This window comes from Homo sapiens, chromosome 19 (genome assembly GCF_000001405.40).
Source record: "Homo sapiens chromosome 19, GRCh38.p14 Primary Assembly".
Lineage (NCBI taxonomy): Eukaryota > Metazoa > Chordata > Mammalia > Primates > Hominidae > Homo > Homo sapiens.
This window is the reverse complement of record NC_000019.10, coordinates 35813376-35825371: the sequence shown is the minus strand read 5'-3', so window position 1 is coordinate 35825371 and position 11996 is coordinate 35813376.

Here is an 11996-nt window from a genome sequence, read left to right as displayed (position 1 = left end):
CTTCATAATAACAGCCCAGTAAGAGGATCCCTCCCTCCCTCCCTCCCTTCCTTCCTTCTTTTCTTTCCTGTCTTTCTCTCTCTCTCTGTCTCTGTCTCTCTCTCTCTCTTTCCCCTTCCCTCCCCTCCCCTCCCCTGCCCTTCCCTTCCCTTCTCTCCCCTCCGCTGCCCTTCCCTTCTCTCCCCTCCCCTCCCCTTCCCTCCTCTCCCCTCCCCTCCCCTTCCCTCCCCTCCCCTCCCCTTCCCTCCCCTCCCCTTACCTCCCCTCCCCTCCCCTCCCGTTCCCTTCTCTTCCCTTCCTTTCTTGTCTCGCTTTGTCACCCAGGAGTGCAATGGCACGATCTCAGCTCACTGCAACCTCCACCTCCCAGGTTCAAGTAATTCTCTTGCCTCAGCCTCCCTAGTAGCTGGGATTGCAGGCGGCCGCCACCAGGCTCGGCTAATTTTTTGTATTTTTAGTAGAGATGGGGTTTCAACCATGTTAGCCAGGCTGGTCTCAAACTCCTGGCCTCAAGTGATCCACCCGCCTCAGCCTCCCAAAGTGCTGAGATTACAGGTGTGCGTGAGCCACCACGCCTGGCTCCATCTTTCTATTGAATAGCAGGATAGCTGAGAAGCCCACCTGTTTCCATGAAGAACAGACTTTCTTCAGACCACACTTCTACTTGATTAACCATATTATCAAAACTTTCTAGTTCACGTGTTTGTCAATATATTTATTTTTCTTTTGTTTTCTTTTTTACAAATACACCCCAATTGTTGTATGACAATGTTATTTTTTATCAGCACAGACTAAAATAAGTTTTTACACCACAGCACTGGAATACATAAACACATTAAGATCTAAATGATTTCCCTGTAATTAAAAGGTGACTTCATTTCTAACAGTAGAATTTTTCTAATTGTATATTTTTTCTTTTTGTTTCAAATAAATCCACAGCCAACAACATGTAATTGTATATTTTTCCTTTTCAAAGAAAAAACCTACAACATTCTTTTTTAATTTTTATTTTTTATTTTTGTTTTTATTTTTTATTATTATTATTATTATTATTATTATTATTATTATTTTGAGAGAAGTCTTGCTCTTATCCCCCAGGTTTGAGTGCAATGGCTCGAACTCTGCTCACTGCAACGTCTGCCTCCCAGGTTGAAACGGTTCTCTTGCCTCTGCCTCCCAAGTAGCTGGGATTAAGTCGCCTGCCATCACGCCTGGCTAATTTTTGTATATTTTAGTAGAGACGGGGTTTCACCATGTTGGCCAGGCTGGTTTCGAACTCCTGACCTCAAGTGGTCCGCCCGCCTCGGCCTCCCAAAGTGCTGGGATTACAGGCATGAGCCACTGCGCCTGGCCTATTTTTATTTTTTTGAGACAGAGTCTCACTTTGTCACCCAGGCTGCGAATACAGTGGCACGATCTCGGCTTATTGCATCCTCTGCCTCCTTGTTTCAAGTGATTCTCCTGCCCCAGCCTCCCGAGTAGCTGGGACTACAGGCGCCCACCACCACGCCTAGCTAACTTTTTGTATTTTTAGTAGAGACGGGGTTTCACCATGTTGGTCAGGCTGGTCTCGAACTCCTGACCTTGTGATCCGCCCGCCTCGGCCTCCCAAAGTGCTGGGATTACAGGTGTGAGCCACTGTGCCCAGCCTTTTTTTTTTTTTTTTTTTTTTTGAGACACAGTTTATCTCTGTCACCTAGGCTGGAGTTCAGTGGCACGATCTTGGCTCACTGCAACCCCTGCCTCCTGGGTTCAAGCAATTTTTGAACCTCAGCCTCCCAAGTAGATGGGACTACAGGTGTATGCCACCACACCCAGATAATTTTTGTATTTTTATTCTTTTTTATTTTATTTTTTTGAGACAGAGTCTCACTCTGTAGTCCAGGTTGGAGTGCAGTGGCGTTATTTCGGCTCACTGCATCCTCTGCCTCCTGGTTCAAGAGATTCTCTTGCCTCAGCCTCCCGCATAGCTGGGATTACAGGTGTGCGCCACCACGCCCAATTAATTTTTGTATTTTTAGTAGAGATGGGGTTTTGCCATGTTGGCCAGGCTGGTCTTGAACCCCTGACCTCAAGTGATCTGCCCGCCTCAGTCTCACAAAGTGCTGGGATTACAGGCGTGAGCCACCATTCCCTGCAAAACCTAGAACATTCTATTCTACATTGGCTTAAGCAGGAAAGGAAATTTGTTGGCTCTTGCAGCTGACAATTGCAGGGGGTAGCGTTGGCTTCAGACACTGCCAGACCTAGTATTGAAACATAGCCATGCAAGGTCTAGCTTCATTCTCGGGTAGACCCTTTATTTGGGAAACAGAGAAGACCACTTGTAGTTCTAGGCTGGTATCCCATGAGCTCAGCAGCCAGAGTGCCTCTTTATGCCAATAGTTCTGGAAAGCTCTGGGGCTGTCTTTCATCAGCCCAGGCTGGGTCTTATGCCTGTCCTGGAACCAACCACTGTGGCCAAGGAATATGCTGCTAAGCCAGGTCCTGGGTTGCTCAGCACCATGAACCACTTGGAAGAAGCTCTCCAAAGTAACCGCAGGCTGTGGCTGGGTCTCTTCATGCAGTTCCTACTTCCTCCTCTCCTTTTTCTGATTCAGTGTAGCGGACATCTATTGCTTCTGCCTTCCCCGGATCTAGTCCCCCTTAATCTATACAGATATTGATGAACAAGACAAATGCCTAGTTGTACCAAGCCACTGGATCCAGCCACACCTGAAGTCAGGGCTACTTCTAGACTACCAGTTTCCCTCCCCACTTAGGTCAGTCTGAATGTCATTTTCAGTTAGTTGCAACCATAAATGTCCTTCACTCTTTTTTTTTTTTTTTTTTTTTTGAGACGGAGTCTCGCTGTCACTCAGGCTGGAGTGCAGTGGCGCGATCTCGGCTCACTGCAGGCTCCGCGCCCCAGGGTTCATGCCATTCTCCTGCCTCAGCCTCCCACGTAGCTGGGACTACAGGCACCTGTCACCTCGCCCGGCTAATTTTTTGTATTTTTAGTAGAGACGGGGTTTCACCGTGTTGGCCAGGATGGTCTCGATCTCCTGACCTTGTGATCCGCCCTCCTTGGCCTCCCAAAGTGCTGGGATTACCAGGCGTGAGCCACCGCGCCCGGCCTAAATGTCCTTCACTCTTAAACCAGTTTGAATGAGGTCTTTAGTTAACTGAGGAGGAAATAAATAATTTGCAAGGGGTGGAAACTCAAATTAGTAGAGCCTAAAAAGCATGTATTGCATTAGTTACTTGGGGAAAAATAGTAATTTCACAGTGGATAAACCTGACAGATGTCACCTTCACCAGATGATCAAAGTTGATGCTACCAGTCATGGGACAAACTGACACAAGGAGCCCCCTGATATAAAATACTGAGAAGGGGCCAGGCGTGGTGGCTCATACCTGTAATCCCAGCACCTTGGGAGGCAGAGGTGAGCAGATCACCTCAGGTCAGGAGTTCAAGACCAGCCTGACCAACATGTGAAACCCTGTGTCTACTAAAAATATAAAAATTAGCTGAGAGTGGTGGCACGTGCCTGTAATCCCAGCTACTCAGGAGGCTTGAACCCAGGAGGCGGAGGCTGCAGTGAGCCGACACCGTGCCACTGCACTCCAGCCTGGGCGACGGAGCGAGACTCTGTCTCAAAAAAAAAAAAAAATTACTGAGAAGGATACAACCACATGTTACTAATACTACTGACTATAAAAGTGCATAACCTGAGCCGGGGCTCATGCCTGTAATCCCAGCACTTTGGGAGGCCAAGATGTGTAGATTGCTTGAGACCAGGAGTTTGAGACCAGCCTGGGTAAAATGGTGAAACCCTGTTTCTACAAAATAATACAAAAATTAGCTGGACATGGTGGTGTGCAACGGTAGCCTCAAGTACTCAGGAGGCTGAGGTGGGAGGATTGCTTGAGCCCAGGAATTCAAGGCTGCAGTGAGCCATCATCACACCACTGCACTCCAGCTTGGGCAACAGAGCCAGACCCTGTCTCAACAAACAAACAAAGAGTCTGGTTACCTTTGGGAGAGAGGGGGATGGTGATTGAAACTGGCACCAGGAAGGCTTGGGGTGAGAATCCTCATAATGTTGTTTTCTTTTCTTTCTTTCTTTTTTTTTTTTTTTTTTTTTTTGATATGGTGTCTTGCTCTGTCTCCCAGGCTGGAGTGCAGTGGTGTGATGATGGCTCACTGCAGCCTCCAACTCTTGGGCTCAAGCGATCCTCCCACCTCAGCCTCCTGTGTAGCTGGGACTACAAGTGTGCACCACCACACATGGCTAATTTTTTATCTTTGTAGAGACAGAGTTTCACTATGTTGTCCAGGTTGGGCCCAAGCGATCCTCCTGCCTTGGCCTCCCGAAGTGCTGGGATTACGAAGTTGTTTTCTTGACTTGGGTGTTAGTTATTCAAGTGTCACTTGCGTCAAATTTACTTTCTGGTCACTTCCTGAAAATTCATACTGAACACATGATATGGGCACATTTCTTTATGTGTGCTATACTTCATTCAGAATTTTACATTACATCTCATAGGTGGCATTGTTGGAATTGTGATTCTTCTGATATGATGTATAACCATTGGTGCCATTCTGAACAAAAAAGTACACAATTTTCACTTTCTTTACATCAGAAGCCGGGCACAGTGGCTCACGCCTGTAATCCCAGTACTTTGGGAGGCCAAGGCAGGAGGATCACTTGAGGTCAGGAATTTGAGACCAGCCTGGCCAACATGGTGAAACTCCCTCTCTATTAAAAATACAAAAAATTAGCTGGGCGTGGTGGCACAGGCCTGTAAACCCAGCTACTTGGGAGGCTGAGGCAGAAGAATCACTGGAACCCGGGAGGCAGAGGTTCTAGTGAGTTGAGATGGCACCACTGCACTCCAGCCTGAGCAACAGAGCGAGATTCTGTCTCCAAAAAAAATAGATAAATAAAAATAAATTTACATCATAGTTTCATTTCAGAAAATGTCAATATATTTTAAACCATACCAAAATTTTGTGTGTATGGTATATGTGTTATATTAATAATTTCAGATAACTGTAAACTTATTTTACGCACAGAAGCGCCTGCAAAGACATTTACAAACTGTTCTGGATGCAGATTTCAGCGTCCAGCATTCCTGGTCCTGCCTCTAGATGCCTGTAATGCCCTCCAATCAATGCTGCAGCCAAAAACAATTATGCAAATTTCCCAAGCTCCCACCAGGGTGCGGTCGTGTCCCGTTTGAGAAGAACCAATCCATGAGGGGATTCTGAATGAGCATGTGTGTGTGTGTGTGTGTGTGTGTGTGTGTGTGTGTGTGTGTGTGTGTGTGTACATTGGGTTCCAGAGCTCAGGAGAGAGGTCTGTGCTGGAGATTAAAACTGGCTGGACTGTCCTCTGCTCCTAAGCTGTCACCAAACTCCAGTATTAAGGGATAAGTAGCTGTGCAGGGGCTGGAGACAAAGAAGACTCCAGGAGCACAGTGTGGGAAGGGATTTCCCTAAAATTGTTGCTGGAGAATAACCCCCAAGTCAGGGAGTGGTAGGAATTAAGGCTAGTGAGATGGCCAAAGATAAACCACAAAGCTCATCTTATGGGTTTGTGCTTTATCCTGTGGGTGACAGGAAGCCAATGAGTCGCTGCAGCAGCAGTGACAGACAGCATTTATGAGCTCCTAACACATGCCAGCTCACATTCTATGTTCTGTATATGTATCACCTCCTGGAACCATCAGAGTCACGCATGAGTCCAGTTTTTTGTTTCATTTTGTTTTTAATTATTTGTTTATTTAGAGAGAGAGTGCACCTGTGTTGCTGCTGGAGTGCAGTTATGCGATCTTGGCTCACTGCAACCTCCACCTCCCGGGTTCAAGCGATTCTTATGCCTCAGCCTCCCGGTAGCTGGGATTACAGGCGCCTGCCACCACCCCCAGCTAGTTTTTGTATTTTTAGTAGAGAAGAGGTTTCGCCATGTTGGCCAGGCTGGTCTCAAACTCCTGACCTCAGGTGATCCACCCGCCACGGCCTCCCAAAGTGCTGGTACTGCAGGCATGAGCCACCACGCCCCAGGTAGGTTTTGTGCATTGGTTGAGCACTCTTGAAGCTCCAGAAACAGGCACAGCACTGGAGCTGGCTGGAATACCTTATTCTTCAATCCCAGTGATTGGTATGGGGTCACCTGGTGACCCAACCAGAGAGAATAAGAGGGACTCTCCCACCTATGGCTCTGCCTCTCTGCTGGTGTTAGAGCCCCTTTGCCTCTTACCACAAAATGGACAATCACCCACAGAAGGACCGGCTGGGAACTTTATTCCAGAACCTTCCATGGCTACTGTTGAGCAGCCCATTGTGTTCTGTTTTGCAGGGCACTCAGGATTCCCCAGTGACCAGGTGTGGGTGGCTCATGTCTGTAATCCAAGCACTTTGGGAGGCTGAGACAGGAGGACCACCTGAGACCAGGAGTTCCAGACCAGCCCAGGCAGCACAGAGAGACCCCATCTCTACAAAAAACACAAAAATTACCCAGCTGTGGTGCCACACTCCTGTAGTCCCAGCAACTCGGGAGACTGAGGCAGGAGGATCCCTTGAGCCCAGTAGTTCAAAGCTGCAGTGAGCTATGAGAGCTATGATCGATCACACCACTGTACTACAGCCTGGGTGACAGAACAGGACCCTGTCTCTAAAACAAAACGAAACAAAAATTCTCTCCACCTAGTCTCTCCCTCTCCCACACTCTCATTTTCAACTTCACTTTCCCCCAATCCAGGTTGTGTGCCTCAGATAGGTGAGAAAAATGCTTTTCCTTCTTATAGCCATATTTGTTTCTACCTCCTTGCCTTTAATTTGTCTGTGGTCTCAACCTGGGATACCCACCCTCTTGATGTAATTGAATTGGTGGAGCATCTAGTCCAGGCTACACTCTGGAGGATGCAAAGATAAATAATAGACCTCGGTAGCTTCAATGCTCTGCCATTTCAGTATGATGTGTTTAGGCATGGATTTCTTTAGTGTTTGTTTGTTTGTTTGCTTGTTTGTTTGTTTTGAGATGGAGTCTCACTCTGTCACCAAGGCTGGAGTGCAATGGGCGATCTCAGCTCACTGCAACCTCTGCCTCCCAGGTTCGAGGGATTCTTCTGCCTCAGCCTCCCGAGTAGCTGGGATTACCAGCACGTGCCACCACGCCCAACTAATTTTTGTATTTTTAGTAGAGGCAGGTTTTCACCATTTGGCCGGGCTGGTCTCGAACTCCTGACCTCGTGATCTGCCCGCCTCAGCCTCCCAAAGTGTTGGGATTACAGGTACGAGCCACCACACCCGGCCTCTTTTGTTTTATCTAGCTTAAGATATCTTTGCTTCTTTGTGAATATGTATTTTTCATCAGTTCTGGAAAATTCTCAGCCATTATTTCTTCCAAGATTGCCTCTCTTCTATACTCTCTAATTTCTACCTTTTTTTTTTTTTTTTTTTCTTGAGACGGAGTCTCACTCTGTTGCCCAGGCTGGAGTGCAATAGCGCCATCTCGGCTCACTGTAACTTCCACCTCCCCGGTTCAAGCGATTATCCTGCCTCAGCCTCCTGAGTAGTTGGGATTACAGGCACGCGCCATCACGCCCGGCTAATTTTTGTATTTTTAGTAGAGGCGGAGTTTCACCATGTTGGCCAGGCTGGTCTCAAACTGCTGACCTCAGGTGATCCGCCCGCCTCAGCCTCCCAAAGTGCTGGGATTACAGGCGTGGCCTGGAGGTTTTTGTTTTTAAAGCAGCTCTTAGAACCAGGCCGGCAACCTTTAATATGCAAATGCAGGCCACCCAACTGGGTCCACCCAAACATGGCGATTCCCAAGGCCATGTTTGGGAGGTCGAGGCAGGCGGATTGCCTGAGCTCAGGAGTTCGAGACCAGCCTGGCCAACATGGTGAAACCCCATCTCTACTAAAAGAATACAAAAAATTAGCTGGGCGTGGCGGTGTGCGCCTGTAGTCCCAGCTACTTGGGAGGCAGAGGTGGAGAATCGCTTGAACCCAGGAGGCAGAGGTTGCAGTGAGCCGAGATCGCGCCGTGCATTCCAGCTGGTGACAGAGCAAGACTATGTCTCATTAAAAAAAAAAAAACAAAAAAACTTCGAGGCCGGGCGCGGTGGCTCACACCTGTAATCCCAGAACTTTGGGAGGCCGAGGCGGGCGGATCACAAGGTCAGGAGTTTGAGACCAACCTGGCCAACAATGTGAAATACCTGTCTCTACTTAAAAAAAAAAAAAACACACACACACACACAAATTAGCCGGGCATGGTGGCGTGTGCCTCATGGCCTGCAACTGTAATCACAGCTACTCGGGAGCCTGAGGCAGGAGCATGCTTGAATGCGGGAGGTGGAGGTTTCAGTGAGCCGACATTGTGCACTCCAGCCTGGGCGACAGAGTGAGACCCTGTCTCAAAAAAAAAAAAAAAAAAAAAGGTGGGTCTTATCCAGAATCTGCTTGAATTGATGTGATGCAATCTATAAGTCCCTTGTCCAGCAAATACCAAAGAAATCTATTAAATTAGTTACCCATTCAACAAAAATAAGTCCATTCAACAAAAATAAGTCCTGTGTTAAGCAGTAGGGATAAATTAATGACAAAACCAAATGTGACCCCCCGACCTCATGGTGTTCACAGTCTAGCAGGGGCGTGGGGAGAGAAACTGAGTCTTCACTCACAGACGAATAAACATGACAAGAGCTACAAGGCTGGTGTTAAAATGTGAAAGGGTAAAACTCCCCCTCATCTGGGAGGGGCTGCTCAAGGCAGACCTCCTTGAGGGGGTGTCTTAAACCCTGACACCTGAGGGCAGGTGGGAGTTAATTAGGGAAAGAAGGAAGGGTGGAGTTTTCAGGGAAAAGGAACAGCGGAAATGCAACAGCAGGAAGCTGGGTGTGTTCCAGGGACAGTGAAAAGACAAAGAGGGAGGGAGGACCCCATTTAGAGAGGCTAAGGTGTCCGATTGTAGGGGCCGTGCCTCTTCACCTGGGTGAACATTTGAACCACCAGGGGAGCTTTCAACACCCCAATGCCTACCCAGTAATCACATTTCTGGGGATGAGGCCCTAGGCTGGGCGTGGTGGCTCACGTCTGTAATCCCAGCACGTTGGGAGGCCAAGGTAGGCGGATCATCTGAGGCCAGGAGTTCAAGACCAGCCTGGTTAATATGGTGAAACCCCGCCTCTCCTAAAAGTACAAAAATTAGCCGGGCATGGTAGCAGACACCTGTAATCCCAGCTACTTGGGAGGCTGAGGCAGGAGAATCACTTGAACCTGGGAGGCGGAGGTTGCAGTGAGCAGACATCTGCAGCCTAGGCAACAGAGCAAGATGGAGCCAAAAAAAAAAAGAAAAGAAAAAAAAGGCAGGCCAAGTACAGAGGCTCATGCCTATAAGCTTAGCGTTTGGGAGGCCAAGGTAGGAGGATTGTTTGAGCCTAGGAGTTTGAGGCTGTAGTGAGCCATGATCATGCTGGAGCATTCCAGCCTGGGTGACAGAGTGAGATCCCCCATCACAAAAAAGAAAGGAAAAAAAAATTTTTTTAAATTTAGCTGGGCATAGTGGCATGTGCCTATAGTCCCAGCTACTTGGGAGGCAGAGGTGGGAGGATCACCTGAGCCTGGGAGGTTGAGGCTGCAGTGAGCCGAAATTGTGCCACTGCACTCCAGCCTGGGCAACAGAGTGAGACCCTGTCTCAAAAATGAATAAATAAATAAATACACACATACATACATACATACATACATAAATAAGAAAATAAATAAAAATTTCAAGGCCGGGCGCAGTGTGGCTCACGCCTGTAATCCCAGCAGTTTGGGAAGCCGAGGCGGGTGGATCACGAGGTCAGGAGATTGAGACCATCCTGGCTAACATGGTAAAACCCCGTCTCTACTAAAAATACAAAAAATTAGCCGGGCGTGGTGGTGGGTGCCTGTAGTCCCAGCTACTCGGGAGGCTGAGGCAGGAGAATGGCATGAACTCAGGAGGCGGAGCTTGCAGTGAGCCAAGATTGCGCCACTGCACTCCAGCCTGGGGGACAGAGCAAGACTCCGTCTCAAAAAAAAAAAACTTACAATGTGAGGGCCAGGTGCCGTGGCTCATGCCTGAAATCCCAACACTTTGGGAGGCCCAAGGTGAGAGGACTGCTTGAGTCCAGGGGTTCAAGACCAGCCTAGGCAGCATAGTAAGACTCTGTCTCTACCAAAAAAACAATTAAAAATTACCCTCGGTGTGATCACATGCACCTGTAATCCCAGCTACTTGGGAGGTGGAGGTGGTGGGTGGGGGGATTGCTTGAGCCCAGAAGTTTGAGGCTGCAGTGAGCAGTGATCACCCCACTGCACTCCAGCCTGGAAGACAGAGCAAGACTCTGTCTCAAAAACAAAACAAAAAAAACCTTACAATGTGAACAACTATGAATCATCATCCATGTTAAGACCTAGGACTCCTAGGACCTAGAAGCCACTGCCAGGCACAGTGGCTCACACCTGTAATCCCAGCACTTTGGGAGGCCAAGGCAGGTGGATCATGAGGTCAGGAGTTCAAGACCAGCCTGGCCAAGATGGTGAAACCGTGACTCTACTAAAAACACAAAAGTTAGCCAGGCGCGGTGGCAGACGCCTGTAATCCTAGCTACTCGGGAGGCTGAGGCAGGATAATTGCTTGAACCCGGGGGCAGAGGCTGTAGTGAGCCGAGATCGTGCCACTGCACTCCAGCCTGGGCAACAGAGTAAGACTCTGTCTCAAAAAAAAAAAAAAAAAAAAAAAAAGACCTAGGACTTCACGCCTGTAATCCCAGCATGTTGGGAGGACAAGTAGGGTGGATCACTTGAGGTCAGGAGCTCAAGACCAGCCTGGCCAACATGGTGAAACCCCATATCTACAAAAATACAAAAATTAGCCAGGTGTGGTGGTGGGTGCCTGTAGTCCCAGCTACTCAGGGGGCTAAAGCAGAAGAATCACTTGAACCCGGGAGATGGGGGTTGCAGTGAGCCGAGATCGCACCACTGCACTCCAGCCTGGGTGACAGAGCAAGGATACGTCTAACAAAACAAAACAAAAAAATTAAGACATATGGTTTCCATTTTAAAAAAAGAAAATAGGATATAGAAGTCCCCATATCCCTCTACCCCATTACAATTCCTCCCATCCCCCACAATCAACCACCTCTCTGACTTCTGTGATAATCATGTCCTTACTTTTCTTGTCCTCATAGTTTGACCACCCACGCATGTATTCCCAACATTTTACTGCAGTTTCACTTTCCTTGCTTTTATATTTATTGAAAAGTATAGACCAGCCACAGTGGCTCATGCCTGTAATCCCAGCACTTTGGAAGGCTGAGGCGGGCAGATCACCTGAGGTCGGGAGTTCAAGACCAGTCTGACCAACATGGAGAAACCCTGTCTCTACTAAAAATACAAAATTAGTGGGGCGTGGTGGCACATGCCTGTAATCCCAGCTACTCTGGAAGCTGAGGCAAGAGAATCGCTTGAACCCGGGGGGTGAAGGTTGCAGTGAGCTGAGATTGTGCCATTGCACTCTAGCCTGGGCAACAAGAGTGAAACTGTGTCTCAAAAAAAAAAAAAAAAAAAAAAAAAAAAGAATAATACAGCTTGCCCTGTTTGGTGTCTGGCTTCTTTCACTTGACATTGTGAGATTCAGCCACACAGTTGTGTGTATCAGTATCCATTCTTTTTCATTACTGTATAGTATTCCATTGCATAACTACACCACCATATATGTATCCATTCTCCTTTTGATGGACATTTGGGTAGTTCAGACACTGCTCCTCTGAACATTCTTTCCTGTACATGTTTCCTGCTGTCCATGTTTAAGGTCTCTAGGATATGTACTTAGCATGGAACAGCTGGGTTATATAGGTTATTTGTCTTTTCTTTTTTCTTTTTTTGGCGACAGAGTCTCACTTTGTCACCCAGGGTGGAGTGCAGTGGCACAATCACAGCTCACTGCACCCTTGACCTCCCAGGCTCAAGAGAT